Raw genomic sequence first — 14,588 nt, 5'->3', positions numbered from 1 at the left:
ACAGAGTATGACCACAGGCAAAACAGGGTAGATGCCAGTGGATTCGGGTCCTTAAAGGGAGAGACAGGCCTTCTTGCACTTTTATTTACTTATTTATAGACAGAGTCTCACTCTGTCACCCAGGCTGGAGTGCAAAAGTGCAATCTCCGCTCACTGCAACCTCCACTGCCTCCTGGGTTCAAGTGATTCTTGTGCCTCAGCCTCCTGAGTAGCTGGGATTAAAGGCAAGCGCCATCATGCCTGGCTAATTTATTTTTTACTTTTAGTAGAGACAAGGTTTCACGATGTTGGCCAGGCTGGTCTCGAACTCCTGACCTCGTGATCTGCCCAAAATGCCGGGGTTATAGGTGTGAGCCACTGTGCCCAGGCCTTCTCTAACTTTTCTTCTTCTTCTTTTTTTTTTTTTTTAGACGAAGTCTTGCTTTTGTCCCTCGGGCTGGAGTGCAATGGCACGATCTCGGCTCACTGCAACCTCTGCCTCGTGGGTTCAAGCGATTCTCCTGCCTCAGCCTCCCAAATAGCTGGGATTATAGGCGCCTGCCACCACGCCCGGCTAATTTTTGTATTTTTAGTAGAGATGGGGTTTCACCATGTTGGCCAGGCTGGTCTTGAACTCCTGACCTCAGATGATCTGCCCGCCTCGGCCTCCCAAAGTGCTGAGATTACAGGCATGAGCCACTGCGCCCGGCCCCTTCTCTAACTTTTAAAGAAATAACCTCAAGCCAAACAAATTGAACCATCTGCCAGTTGTTGGTGGGTTTTTCCCTCCTTGGCTAAATCCTCGGGTGGTAAACATTACCTCAGATGCTGGGATGACCAACATCATCACACAGAATCTTGACTAAACTCAACCATTTGGAACAATATGGCCATGGTCTTACTGTTTACATTCAGACTGGGGTTTGCTAGCCTGAAGTGAGACTGAGGTGGGTCCACGGATGCCCAAAGGGTTCTTAGATCTTAAAGGGCTCTGTGAAGTTAGAGGAAAAAAAATTATCTCTGTACTTTCCCTGACCTCTAACTGTAACTAGCATTTCCTTCAACAAGCTGAAGCAGTCTTAGCGGTTTCTATGACACTGCCGCCAACACAAATCAGGGGTATTTTCATAGCACGTTGTAACTGCAGATTCTCAATGCATCATCTGCGCTCATGCCTGCTTCAGAACGACAGTGGTTATGAAGCCTGCTGCTGGGCACGACTGGAGGCCCACGCACCATGAAATCACACACACACACACACAGAAAAGCACCAGCCAGGGACAAGTGTCGTTGGCCACTTGGATTCCTTGGGTCACAGGCTCCTTGGACGACGGCTGTGGAGCAGGCAGCATGATTCCATCGCAAGCCCCCTTGGCCCGTCCAATGACAGTGACTGCCAAGTCCTCACTGCACACACGTACGTACCTCTTTATGTATTTTGGTCCTGTTCTTAATTTCAGCTACTATCATTCCCACAATGGCACCTCTGTAGGTTGCAGCAAGGGAAAAGAACTTCTTGTTGGATGTGATATCACGATACCATGAGTCTGGGTACCTGAGAAACAGAACATACTCAGGTGAACCTGCCACAGGTCAAGTCCAACTATGGTCGTGCTCTAGACATCAGAACCACAGGGAGCTCTGGGCCACTTCTGCCTGCTGCTCTAAGGCTGCCGAGGAGTGTGCCCATCACTTAAGTCTCTACCTAACTGTCACAGCCACCTTCTTAAAGCAGTGATCTGTCTAGACAGGACTGGGGATCTCTGATGGGAATTTTTTTCTTTTGAGACGGAGTTTTGCTCTTGTTGCCCAGGCTGGAGTGCAATGGCGTGATCTCGGCTCACTGCAACCGTTGCCTCCTGGGTTCAATCGATTCTCCTGCTTCGGTCTCCCGAGTAGCTGGGATTACAGGTATGTGCCACCACGCCCGGCTAATTTTGTATTTTTTTTTAAGTAGAGATGGGGTTTCTCCATGTTGGTCAGGCTGGTCTCAAACTCCTGACCTCATGTGATCTGCCCGTCTTGGCCTCCCAAAGTACTGGGATTACAGGTGTGAGCCACCGCGCCTGGCCCGGGAAAAATAATTTTATCCGACATGAAACTGTCTCCATGGAAGCAACTCATGGAGAGTCAGCAGCAGGGCCCTGTTCCTCCACCAGGTGAGTGAAGATTTTAGGGCCCTTCTCACCCTTGGACACTGGAGGAGTGCCTACGAGAATCTGTGAGACTTCTGGACACTGAAGACTAGGGGAGTGGAGTGATTCCAGGAAGAGCCAGGTTCACAGCTGACAGGCGTTTGAGTTTACAATGCCTTCCCTGACAGGGAGGAACCCGCCCTTAAGGGGAATGTGAGGCTGAGGCTGCTAACGGCTGCTCATCAACAATGAGGCCAAGACCCCTCTGAGCGGAGCAGGCAAAAAAAACAGTGGGCATAAAGGCCCAGGACATGGTCATTAACAGGCGAATCCAGCCCCAGCCCCAGAGAGACAAGGTCAGGAGGACAGAGGCACATGGAGTTTCTAGGGTGTGTAGGGTTAGTTTTGCTGCCTCACAGCCCGGTTCATGTCACAGTCTTGGGAACCTGAGACCTTAGGCCCACGAGAACTGCAGGAGAGACAGGCAGGCTGGGTGGCTCACATGGCCAAGGCCCACGGTCCAGCGTGGCTCCACTGGCTCTCAGGCAACCCTGGGCAGAGTCTGATCTATGCACTCACTGCAGCTTTTATTTCTCTAGATTAGTTTCCAGCAGTTAAATTGCTGGGCTGAAGAACACGTTTTTATTTTTATTTTGAGATGGAGTCTCACTCTGTCACCCAGACTGGAGTTCAGTGTTGTGATCTCAGCTCACTGCAACCTCTGACTCGCGGGTTCAAGTGATTCTCCTGCCTCAGCCTCCCGAGTAGCTGGGGTTACAGGTGCGTGCCACCAGGCCTATTTATTATTATTATTATTATTATTATTTTGAGACAGAGTCTCACTGTCGCTCAGGTTGGGGTGCAGTGCCACAATCTTGGCTCACTGCAACTTCTGCCACCTGGGTTCAAGCGATTCTCCTGCCTCAGCCTCCCGAGTAGCTGGGATTACAGGTGCCTGCACCATGCCCAGATAATTTTTTTGTATTTTTAGTAGAGACGGGGTTTCACCACCTTGGACAGGCTGGTCTTGAACTCCTGACTTCGTGATCCACCCGCCTCGGCCTCCCAAAGTGCTGGGATTACAGGCGTGAGCCACTGCGCCCGGCCCAATTTTTGTATTTTTAATAGAGATGAGGTTTCACCATGTTGGCCAGGCTGGTCTCGAACTCCTGACCTCAGGCCTGCCTTGGCCTCCCAAAGTGCTGGGATTACAGGCGTGAGCCACTGCGCCCGGCCCAATTTTTGTATTTTTAATAGAGATGAGGTTTCACCATGTTGGCCAGGCTGGTCTCGAACTCCTGACCTCAGGTGATCCACCCACCTTGGCCTCCCAAAGTGCTGGGATTACAGGCGTGAGCCACTGCGCCCAGCCAAGAACAGTTTTTTAACTCATGTTGCCACCGCCAGCCCACATCACCTGGACTGTGACAGTTCCCGCTTCCACAAAGACGCACAGGGGTCCCTGCCACCGCCCTGCCAAGAGCATGAGGTTCAGTCAGTCTGAGGTGAACACTCAAGGAAATGCTGGTGGCTGGCAAGATCTTGTTTATTTTCCATTTTCAAAGTTTGTGTCAACTTTTTTCATCAAAAAAGCTGTATGTGCATATATTGTAGGCAAGACAGACAAGAAGAAACAATCATAGGGCCTAATATTAATCTACCCACCTCAAATACTGAAACACTGTTAAATGGTACATACCCCCTTGTAAAATTTTTTTCACCCCCGCTCAGTTCATACCTATCATTATAAAATTTTATCTTGTACATGTTTTCAAATAAAAATAGGATCGTGGTACATACTATTTTCTAGACTGACTTTTTTCCTTTAATATCTTTCTTTCTTTTTTTTGAAACGGAATATCGCTCTTGTTGCCCAGGCTGGAGTGCAATGGCGCAATCTCGGCTCACCGCAACCTCCACCGCCTGGGTTCAAGTGATTCTCCTGCCTCAGTCTCCCAAGTAGCTAGGATTACAGGCACGCACCACCACACCTGGCTAATTTTGTATTTTTAGTAGAGACGGGGTTTCTCCATGTTGGTCAGGCTGGTCTTGAACTCCTGACCTCAGGTGATCTGCCCTCCTTGGCCTCCCAAACTGCTGGGATTACAGGCTCCTTTAATATCTTGTAAAAAAGATTTCTCTATCAAAAAATATAACTCTTTGACAGGTTTTTTTTTCCCGGCTGAATAATATTGCACTTTTATATGCACATACTCTAATTACTCTAATGCATGTAACCAACTCCTTGCTGTGAAGATACTTGAGTGGCTTCTAAATTTTCTGAATTATAAATAGCACCACACCCGATAGCTCTGTAACTGAAATTTCTCACAGAGCCCTTCTGGGGAACTCTGCACACCCTGAGAGGTGGAAAGAGCCCAGCAGCAGGGGTCCCTAGATGAGGTGGGTAACCTGGGACCCCTGTGGCCCCTCCAGGCCATTCCCATCTTTGCAGCACGGTCCTAAGGGCCCAAGAGGCCCCCACCCCCGCCGCCCAGCTTCTGCACCTGAGGCTCACGGGCTCTCCCCAACCCTGCAATCCGCTCCACTTACTCGATGGGGAACCAGTCGCCACACAGGTGCTTCACAGTGTCTATGTCATCGTGGCAGAGGAGGCGCAGGCTGACCTCGCTGAGCGCGCTGGATGGCACCACCTCTGTCATTCACACCTGTGGGGAAGGGTGGGGGGGACGCGTCACCTCACAGCCTGGTCTTCCTCATGCTCAGCTTGTGAGGCAGGCGAGACAGAAGAGCACGGAGCATGTCCCACGGGTGGACACCCCTCAGCCAGCACTCAGAGGCCTCTGCCTCTCACGATCGCCCTCCCAAGAGGCGCTGCAGTCGCCCCCATCGCTGGGAAGACCCAGGCCCAGGAGGGCAGGCAGGATGGGGAACCAGGCCCTCCACTGCTCAGCCCCAGCTGAAGGAAGCCCTGGCCAGCCTCTCTCCCCATCTGAGCTGCCCCTGACTGGTCTCACATCTTATGACAGTGGTCCTTCCGAGGGTCAACGGCCCCAGCCAGCCTGACTTCTCTCAACTCCAGCCAGTGGCTGCCAGTGACAGTTGTGGGTTCAGCAGCCCCCATGCCTCATCCCCCTTCAAAGCAGCCCGGTGGCCGGGGCAGTGAACGGCTGGATTTGCAGGGGAAATGGTGCGGCTTTATGACCAGGGCGTGGGTTTGTGCTGAGTGGGTCACACCCCAATTTCTCCTCCCCGCCCAGCAAGTGAACACTCCTGGGCGGAAAGAAAGAGACTTTGGGGGACACCACAGTTCAAGTCGGGGTCACGAGTGGCCAAGGACTCCTTTAAATCAGGAAAGTGCATCCAATCCAGGGGCGGGAGGAGCAGCCCCCCTGTTTTATTTAACAAGGAAGTTTGTATAGAAAGGAAGAGAGGAATGGAGGGAGGAAGGCTGGCCGGCCAAGTGCTGGGCACCGAGAAGGGGAAAACAGAAGCCTTGGTTCTTTAAGTTGGAAATTAGTCGTTAAAAGGAAAGGATGGGGCCTGGTGTGATGGCTCACGCCTGTAATCCCAGCACTTTGCGAGGCCAAGGTGGGTGGACTGCCTGAGGTCAGGAGTTCAGGACCAGCCTGGCCAACATGGCAAAACCCTGTCTCTACAAAAAATACAAAAATTAACCAGGCTTGGTGGCGGGCAACTGTAATCCCAGTTACTGTGGAGGCTGAGGCAGGAGAATCGCTTGAACCCGGGAGGTGGAGGCTGCAGTGAGCCAAGACTGCGCCACTGCACTCCAGCCTGGGCAACAGAGTGAGACTCCATCTCAAAAAAAAAAAAAAGGAAAGGATGGAAGGCTGGGTGTGGTGGCTCATGCCTGTAATCCCAGCACTTTGGAAGGCTGAGGTGGGAGGATCGCCTGAACCCAGGAGTTTGAGATCAGCCTGGGCAACATAGCAAGACCCTGTCTCTAAAAATAAATAAATAAACAAACCCATAAATAAATGGGAAAAGATGCTGCATTCATCCTCCTTTTTTAGGAGGAACTGCGTAGTTCATCTCAGCGTTGAGGAAAGTTCTTTACAGAAGAATGCCAGCTAATAAAAGTAGAAATAATGACTGAATTAGAAAGTCACCATTTTGGAATCACCAACAGAAATGACGGAGTCAAACAACAATCAGGAAAGGCCGTGAAATCCGCAGCTGAAAGCTGCTGGGGGCAGGTGCAAGGTGTGGAGGCAAGCCCCTGGGCCCCCAGGACTCACTCACTGCCCAGGAAAGACCTCGTCTTTTATCTGGCAGTCCCCACTCCACTGGCAGGGCGAGCCCAGCCTCTCTGAGCTCCCGCCCTCCTGCTGCCATGGGTGGGAAGTGCCCGCGGCGTCCACTGTCCAGGTTTCTGCACAACCTTCCCTTTCCTGACAAGGGGAGGAATTTAGACGCTGAATCTGGTCTCTCTGCTGGCTCAGCCTTAGTTAATCAGATTCCTGGAGCCTTCTCTGCGGAGTGGAGATAGCTAGGCCCCTCCCCAGGGTGGTTCTCTGCTGGAACGAGCTGATGGGGTCCAAGTGTCAGGACAGTGCTGGCAGGGAGGCGGTGCCCCTCTACACCAGCCTTGAGCACCCACTACTAGCTGATACTTGGCTCAGTCCAGCCACTTCCCGGGGTATCCCCTTGACCTGGGACAGGGCCAGCACTGACGTCCTGAGCAGCTCTGCTCTGACTCCTAACTTGTGTGGTTCTCAGCTCCTGGTTCAACGTCAGGTGTGCCAAGTAGTTCATGCTCAGCTTTATAGGGAGAAGCCTCTCTAAACTCACACCCCCCACCCCGCCCTTGTGCCCACCCCTTTGTTCCCACGGTTCTGGATCCATGCACTGTTGACTCCAGACCCTTTAAAAATAGGCCGGGAATGGTGGCTCATGCCTGTAATATGAGCACTTTGGAAGGCCAAGGCTGGTGGATCACCTGAGGTCAGTAGTTCAAGACCAGCCTGGCCAACATGATAAAACCCTGTCTCTACAAAAATATAAAAATTAGCCAGGCATGATGGCAGGTGCCTATAATCCCGGCTACTCAGGAGGCTGAGGTGGAAGAATCACTTGAACCCAAGAAGCAGAGGTTGCAGTGAGCCAAGATCGCACCACTGCACTCCAGGCTGGGCAACAGTGCAAGACTCCATCTCAAAAAACAACAACAACAACAACAACAACAACAACAACAACAACAAAAAGCTGGGGCCAAGCATGGTGGCTCGCACCTGTAATCCTAGCACTTTGGGAGGTCCAGGCAGGTGGACTGCTTGAGGTCAGGAGTTTGAGACCAGCCTGACCAACATGGTGAAACACTATGATATGGTTTGGCTCTGTCCCTCCCCAAATCTCATCTTGAATTGTAGCTCCCAAAATTCCCACATGTTCTGGGAGGGACCTGGTGGGAGATAACTGAGTCATGGGAGCAGTTTCGCCCATACTGTTCTTGTGGTAGTGAATAAGTCCCACGAGACCTGATGGTTTTATAAGGGGTTTCCCTTTTTGCTTGGCTCTCATTCTCTCTTGCCTGCCACCATGTAAGACGTGACTTTTGCCTTCTGCCATGATTGTGAGGCCTCCCCAGCCATGTACAACCGTGAGTCCATTAAACCTGGTTCCTTTATAAATTACCCAGTCTCTGGTGTGTCTTTATCAGCAGCATGAAAATGGACTAACACACCCCATCTCTACTAAAAATACAAACATTAGCCAGGCGTGGTGGTGTGCCTGTCATCCCAGCCACTCAGGAGGCTGAGGTTCAAGAATCGCTTGAACCCGGGTGGCAGAGGTTGCAGTGAGCTGAGATGGTGTCATTGCATTCCAGCCTGGGTGACGTGGTGAGATTCTGACTCAAAAACGAAATGAAACGAAACAAAACAAAACAAAACAAAACAGATGACAAAGAACACACAAAGGAACAAAACCTCTAAAAGAACAGATGAAGGTGTTAATCTTGTCAGGTGTGAGAAGAGTCTTGTGGTTATGTACAAAAAGTCCATATTTTATATTAACAGATGCACAGTGGAATATGCAGGGGCAAAATGACAGAATGTTCCAGAATTTAGTTTAATTTAGTTGGAGCAAAAAAGTGGCAAAATATTAATGGGCGTTAGATCTGGATAACGGGTATGCCACGTGGATGTTTGAAAATGTTCTTAATTAAAACCAACCAGGGCCAGGAGCGGTGGCTCATGCCTGTAATCCCAGCACTTTGGGAGGCCAAGGCAGGCCGATCATGAGGTCAGGAGTTCAAGACCAGCCTGGCCAAGATGGTGAAACCCTGTCTCTACTAAAAATACAAAAAAATTAGCTGGGCGCAGTGGCAGGCACCTGTAATCCCAGTTACTTAGGAGGCTGAGGCAACAGAATTGCTTGAACTTGGGCGGCAGAGGTTGCAGTGAGCCAAGGTTGCAGTGAGCCAAGATTGTGCCACTGCACTCCAGCGTGGGCGATAGAGTGAGATTCTGTCTCAAAAAATAAACAAAACAAACAAAAAAACAAAAAGCTAAAGAAAACCAACCAAATTTCTCATTCCGGAGAGACTGGGTTTCCAATGTGGATGGTGGGTTTTCCAGGTGACTGAATGCAAGGCCTCTGTTGTCCGCACTGAGAGCTCTGGAAAGCAGCGCTGTGTGCCGCAGCTGCCACCATGGGCCACGGGATCTTGTATCCCTGGGAACGGTGGGTCCTGGGCACGTGGCTGGCACTGACATACACTGGAACCGCAGGGGGGCAGCATCTGGTTCACTGTCAGTGGGTGCATACTACTCAGGGCCCGCACACTCCACTGAGGTCTCAAAACGCAAAAGGACGCCGGGCGTGTAACTCAAGCACAGATACTGTGTTTTTACGAAGCCAGCTGAGGGCAGGCTCCCACCCCCTTTCCCCTAAGGGCTAAGAAAACTGGCAAACCCAGAAACCACTTACCCACACTTTGAAACTCTGGGACAAAGCCACTAACCCCACAACATCGACGGACAAGGCAGAGGCTGGTTCCTCGATTCAGCCTTTCCAGAGACAGCTCCTGACACAAGGGCCCCAGCACACGGCCTCCTCCTTGCTACAGGAACCAGCACGGGGGAAAGGCTGCCCACCTGGCCACCCTGGGCAGAACTCCAGAGCCCATAGGCCCAGCCGCCCAGGTTTCTGAGCTCCTGCAGGGCCAGCTGGCTCTGAAAAAAACACCACCGGCTCAGCTCTCACCGGAGAGGGCAGGATGAGCACAGGCAACCTGCGAAACCAGCCGGTACAGCCCGGGTCTGGAGGCCACAGGGAGAACCACCTGAGAGCTGGACCCAGGAAGTGGGGTTGGCAAGGCCTTGACCTCCGTGGATGCCTGGGGCAGGGATGACTTCCTGAGGGGACGAAAACGTTCCAGATCTTTTTATTATTATTATTTTTTGAGATGGAGTCTTGCTCTGCCCCCCAAGGCTGGAGTGCACTGGCGCGATCTCGGTTCACTGCAAGCTCCGCCTCCCGGGTTCACGCCATTCTCCTGCCTCAGCCTCCCGAGTAGCTGAGACCACAGGGGCCTGCTACCACACCTGGCTAATTTTTTTGGTATTTTTAGTAGAGATGGGGTTTCACCTTGTTAGCCAGGATGGTCTCGATCTCCTGACCTCATGATCCGCCTGCCTTGCCCTCCCAAAGCGCTGGGATTACAGGTGTGAGCACCGCGCCCGGCCCAGTCAAGTTGATTTTTAAAGATTTTCACAAATCTCTATATTGTGGCTTGGTACCAAAGACAGATTCGTAATAAGCTCGCATCTCTCATGTCCTGGGACTGCACATTTCCCCCAGTATCCTCATTTGTTTCCAGTGTGAATTTCAAGAAAAACACTGGGCTCTGAGATACACAACGATCTGCGGATTTTCAAATCCCTACTAAAAGTGCTTCCGTGTTTCTGGAGGCCAGTTCTTTACACTCGATTTAAAAATGGAAACGCGTCACACCTAAGTCAGGGCCAAATGCAGCATGCATCACAGCACCTCATGTGTCTCAGCCCAACTGAGGGGCAGAGAAGAGGCAGGAAGGTGCACGAAACAGAGACTCGGGTCACCTGTGTGCCCATGAAAGGAAGAGATGGGGTCAAAGAGCATGGCTGTAGGTCCACTGCTGCGGAGGCAGTGAGGGGGACCCACATGTGCCCTGGCCCATCAGCCTCCCTCTAGAGTCAGGGGTTCATGCTGATCAAGTCGGAGATGATCCAAAGGCAGGGCCAGCGGCCCCCCCCAACCCCACTGGCCCCTGCCCTGCCGTTGCTCCCTCTTCCCACAGCTTTCTACATCCCGTCTCCCCAGTGTATCCGTGCCTGCAGTCACAGCAGGCCCAAGGAGAGAGAGACGGAGCTGGCTATGAGGGCCACGCTGGGCCCAGCTTTGGGAAGGACGTGGAGCTGGTTGGAGGGAGAGGTCCTGAAAAAGTGGGGCCTCCTTTCCTGCTGACGCCCTGGGTCATTTCACTTCTGGGGTCCCAGGGCCTGAACATCTGCGAGAATTACTGCTGTCACCCAGCCGCTGTGACGGGAGCTCTGTGCCTCTGGGAATAGCGAGTTCCATTCCAGGCACCTTCACCTACAGGCTGGGAGGTGTACCTGGGCTTCCCTGGAGAAGCCCCAAGCCAGGCCTGGTGGGAAGCTGCTCCCCCAGCATTGTCTGCTGGGGGCAGTGCAGGCACTGTGGGGCAGGGTCACCCATTTCCCAGCCCCTCAGAGGTGGCAATGGCCAATTCTGATGCAAAACCAACTGTGTCAGTCACCCCTGGAGTATGTGTGGGCTCAAGGCATGGCAGGGGCAAAGCCCTCCAGCAGATGGCAAAGTTAGTTCCAACCACTAACTTTGGAGCCCATCCCCTGACACGAGACAAAGGACCTGCTTAAAGCACTTTCCAGGCCCCAGGGCAGCCCCAGCAGGCCCGGCGCACAGAGGAGCATCTGGTGGCGACCTTCCTTGAGCACAGTGATGGTGAGACAGACACGCGGCAGGTATGGAGCTGAGGCCCAGCATGATGCAGTGCCTGAGGGCTCAGAGGCATGGAGCCCTGGCTCTTGGCTGGATGGCTTCATGCAACACCTGTGTGAACAAAGCCCTGGTGCTGGCAAGGAACCCTCATGTGCCCACCTAGAACCTTCTACTAAGTACTCATCTTCCATTGCCCTGCAGGCCACCCGGAGGACACAGGGACAAGAGTGCTGATAACAGGGAGCAGCAAGGCAAAGTCAGAGACAGGCCCCGCCAGGCAGGTGCTCTCTGCTCTGAGCCCTCCAAACAGGACGGGTACCAGGGCAGTGCAGTGCGGAGCAGCAAGGCAAAGTCAGAGACAGGCCCCACCAGGCAGGTGCTCTCTGCTCTGAGCCCTCCAAACAGGATGGGTACCAGGGCAGTGCTGTGCGGAGCAGCAAGGCAAAGTCAGAGACAGGCCCCGCCAGGCAGGTGCTCTCTGCTCTGAGCCCTCCAAACAGGATGGGTACCAGGGCAGTGCTGGGGGGAGCAGCAAGGCAAAGTCAGAGACAGGCCCTGCCAGGCAGGTGCTCTCTGCTCTGAGCCCTCTAAACAGGACGGGTACCAGGGCAGTGCTGGGAGGAGCAGCAAGGCAAAGTCAGAGACGGGCCCTGCCAGGCAGGTGCTCTCTGCTCTGAGCCCTCTAAACAGGATGGGTACCAGGGCAGTGCTGGGGGGATAGAGCACTAAAGTCACAGTTGCCCAAGCCATCTTTCAGAACATGTTCCTAAAAAGGCACAGGACGCATCTCTACTACAACAAGCAGGGAAGTATTGCACGGGAGAATGCGAAACTCTCTTGAATTTTTTTTTTTTTTTTTGAGATGTTGTCTGGCTCTGTTGCCCAGGCTGGAGTGCAGTGGCAAGATCTTGGCTCACTGCAACTTCTGCCTCCCGAGTTCAAGCGATTCTCACGCCGCAGCCTCCTAAGTAGCTGGGATTACAGGCATGTGCCACCACAACCAGGTAATTTTTGTATTTGTAGTAGAGACAAGGTTGTTGGCCTTGTCAGGCCAATGTTGGCCAGGATGGTCTCGATCCCTAACCTCGTGATCCACCTGCCTTGGCCTCCCAAAGTGCTGGGATTACAGGCATGAGCTACCGAGCCCGGCCACTCCCTTGAATTTTTAAGTTAGAACCTGGAGCTTCAAAGGCTCGAGCCTGGGGTGAGAAATCTCTCCTGGCTGGCCTCCTGGGTCTGCATCGCAGTTCTCCGCCTTCCGGAGGTGGAGCGATGCAAGGAGGGAGGCACTGATCCTGCTTGACCCAAACAAAAGCCGTGCTTGCGCCTCGGCACTCACACCTTCTCTGCTTCCCCCAACTCCGTGCTCCTGAGCTGCCTGTAGACCTCATATTTCTTTTACATGGAAATGACCTCTCCGGACACGGTACCAAGACTGCTTTCCTCCAAGGACTGGCAGTAGCTGGAAGGGGCTGGTGTCTGAACTGGCAGAGCCAAGCTGAGCCCCCTGATCAACATCACTGTGAGGCAGGAGAATAGGGTCTGGAGGCAGGGAACCTAAGGCCAATTCATGCTGACTTCTTAGAACTAAATCCAAAGGAAAACCCCAACTTTCCATCCCCAAGTAACAAAAGAACCAGAGGCTACTCCCTTCACACCGACCTGCTTTTCTACCAAGCAGATCAAGAACTGAAAGTACCTCTGATTGGTCCCCTCCTGCAACCAATCAAGCTGGTCTCCGGCCAAGTCTTCATTTATATAGGAGTGCAACTTTGTAATTTCACTTCAGCCTCTGATTGGTTGCTTTCCACAATGAATCAGATATTTGCATAGGATGTAACTTTGTAACTTCACTTCAGCCTCTGGTTGGCTGCTTTCCTCAACCAATCAGACTGATCGCAGGTCACTTTCATTTACATAGGGCATGCACCAAATAACCAATGGGAAACCTCTAGAGGGTATTTAAACCCCAGAAAATTCTGTAACCAGGGCCTGCTCCCACCCTATGGAGTGTACTTTCGTTTTCAATAAATCTGCTTTTGTTGCTTCATCTTTTTCTTGCTTTGTTTGTGCCGTTTTGTCCAATTCTTTGTTCAAGATGTCAAGAACCTGGATACCCTCCATCGGTAACAACTGTCCAGGAGCCCCATGTGCTCAGCCCACAGGGGACTATGATGCCAAACTGGAGGAAGGGCCGCCAAGATGTCTCCAGCACCCACAGGTGTGTCTGCCATCCCCCGCCACTGTCAGGTGCTGAAAACTCAGAATCTGGGGGACACAGAATGGACTGCGTTTCAGTTACCAGAAGGGTTTCCTGACACCCTCATGATGCCCACAGGGTGCTCCACTTGCACCCCAGGTAAAAAAGCCAAAAACAACCCTGTTTCCTAGTGCCCTCTCTCCTTGGCAGTCCCTGTCCTAATGCCCCAAGTCCACGGGGGACTCCTCCTCCTTCGAAGGCACTGCTTCAAGACCAACAAGTCATGCTGCGCTTGGAAAGGCCACCCTCTTAATGGCTTGAGAGGTGTCCTGGCCTCCATCCATGACCTCAGGAGCAGACTCCCAGTGTTCAGCTGGCCATGGCCACACTGCCCTGCCCTCCCTTCTCTCTCTTCCCGCCCACAGCTCCTCCCTGCCAGTCCCTACCTGCACTCTGAGCCCCTAACATGCTCCCAGACCCTGCAGGGATCTCAGGTGTTCTGAGACGGATCTCCCGCCACACGCTTCAGCTTCTCAGCCGTGGCCTGAAGATTCTCCCACCTACCTCAGGATCGCTGGGAAGGCTGCATGAGACGCTGCTTCTAAAGGCCGCCCCCCAACCCCTGGTCCAGCTCCTCAGGCTCTTTCTCTCTGGCCCAAGCACCCACTGTCTGACATTTTCAATGTCAGGCTTTCCGCACCTCTGACAGGCTGTCCGCACCCTGCAGGCACCCATCTTGGGCAGGCCTCCCTGCCACCTCCTTTCCAGGCAATGGAACCACTTGCAGCTCAACACCTGCTGCCACCTTTCTGCTTTACTCCTGCCCTTCAAACACTTATTCCTCACTCACCCACTCACCCCACTTTCTGTCCCAGCACACTGGTGAAGGTGCACCAACAGCTGTCCCTCTGCAAAATCCAGAGCCCCTCCAGGAATCCCCACCCCAAACTCCAGGCAGCTCACATCTCAGTAGATCTCCCTCTCGGGCCACCTTCCCCCTCTTCCTCTCAAAGCACCACCCCAGTCCTGCCCGTTAGCACACCAGGCTTCTGCTCAAGAGAAGCTCAAGGGAGATTAGCATGTGCTCATCCATACCACAAGAATTAAACACCACTTGCAGCTGCAAGGTTTACTAGCTTGAAAAATCCAACACTCATGAACTCCACACTCCTGTCTTTGGGGAACAGGGGAGAAAAAGAAAAGCACGTTAGTGACAGATACAGGCCACTGTCTTGCTCATCAGTGAAATGGGCTCAAGGGCTAAAAGTGGAGGATGTCAGCAGCTAACACTGCGCATGGCTTGTTTCTCAAAGGAGCAGCTGCCCACG

General features: G+C 52.7%; 1 protein-coding gene across 9 annotated transcripts in view, besides 6 other annotated features; it reads right to left on the bottom strand.

Moving 5' to 3' along the window:
- NAA60 (N-alpha-acetyltransferase 60, NatF catalytic subunit) overlaps positions 1-14,588 on the bottom strand; it is a 43,353-nt gene that overhangs the window by 5,959 nt on the left and 22,806 nt on the right. For 7 of the 9 annotated variants that reach the window (NM_001083601.3, NM_024845.4, NM_001083600.3 and 4 more), the window contains 2 exons: positions 4,668-4,783; positions 1,405-1,534 (listed from right to left, as the gene is read on the bottom strand). In NM_001083601.3, the coding sequence (NP_001077070.1) occupies positions 1,405-1,534; positions 4,668-4,777 (240 nt within the window). In that variant the 5' untranslated portion in view covers positions 4,778-4,783. The remainder of the gene's footprint in view (positions 1-1,404; positions 1,535-4,667; positions 4,784-14,588) is intronic. The other 2 variants (NM_001317093.1, NM_001317095.2) reach the window with 1 other exon arrangement.
- Positions 263-432: an enhancer, noted in NCBI's record as "experimental_43346 CRE fragment used in MPRA reporter constructs". NCBI's record gives its function as "activates a minimal promoter by MPRAs in K562 erythroleukemia cells, with activity observed for both the introgressed and non-introgressed 16:3530658 variant alleles {active_cell/tissue: K562}" and the evidence as "EXISTENCE:reporter gene assay evidence [ECO:0000049][PMID:34662402]".
- Positions 9,477-9,646: an enhancer, noted in NCBI's record as "experimental_43345 CRE fragment used in MPRA reporter constructs". NCBI's record gives its function as "activates a minimal promoter by MPRAs in K562 erythroleukemia cells, with activity observed for both the introgressed and non-introgressed 16:3521444 variant alleles {active_cell/tissue: K562}" and the evidence as "EXISTENCE:reporter gene assay evidence [ECO:0000049][PMID:34662402]".
- Positions 10,741-11,458: an enhancer, noted in NCBI's record as "H3K27ac-H3K4me1 hESC enhancer chr16:3519547-3520264 (GRCh37/hg19 assembly coordinates)". NCBI's record gives its function as "activates a minimal SCP1, AML or CMV promoter by ChIP-STARR-seq in naive H9 embryonic stem cells {active_cell/tissue: H9 hESC(naive)}" and the evidence as "EXISTENCE:reporter gene assay evidence [ECO:0000049][PMID:30033119]".
- Positions 13,134-13,303: an enhancer, noted in NCBI's record as "experimental_43341 CRE fragment used in MPRA reporter constructs". NCBI's record gives its function as "activates a minimal promoter by MPRAs in K562 erythroleukemia cells, with activity observed for both the introgressed and non-introgressed 16:3517787 variant alleles {active_cell/tissue: K562}" and the evidence as "EXISTENCE:reporter gene assay evidence [ECO:0000049][PMID:34662402]".
- Positions 13,134-13,730: a biological region, named in NCBI's record as "H3K27ac-H3K4me1 hESC enhancer GRCh37_chr16:3517275-3517812".
- Positions 13,193-13,730: an enhancer, noted in NCBI's record as "H3K27ac-H3K4me1 hESC enhancer chr16:3517275-3517812 (GRCh37/hg19 assembly coordinates)". NCBI's record gives its function as "activates a minimal SCP1, AML or CMV promoter by ChIP-STARR-seq in naive H9 embryonic stem cells {active_cell/tissue: H9 hESC(naive)}" and the evidence as "EXISTENCE:reporter gene assay evidence [ECO:0000049][PMID:30033119]".

This window comes from Homo sapiens, chromosome 16 (assembly GCF_000001405.40).
Source record: "Homo sapiens chromosome 16, GRCh38.p14 Primary Assembly".
In the NCBI taxonomy this organism is placed as follows: domain Eukaryota; kingdom Metazoa; phylum Chordata; class Mammalia; order Primates; family Hominidae; genus Homo; species Homo sapiens.
Note: the sequence above shows the minus strand (reverse complement) of the source record. Positions and strands in the feature narration are given on the sequence as shown.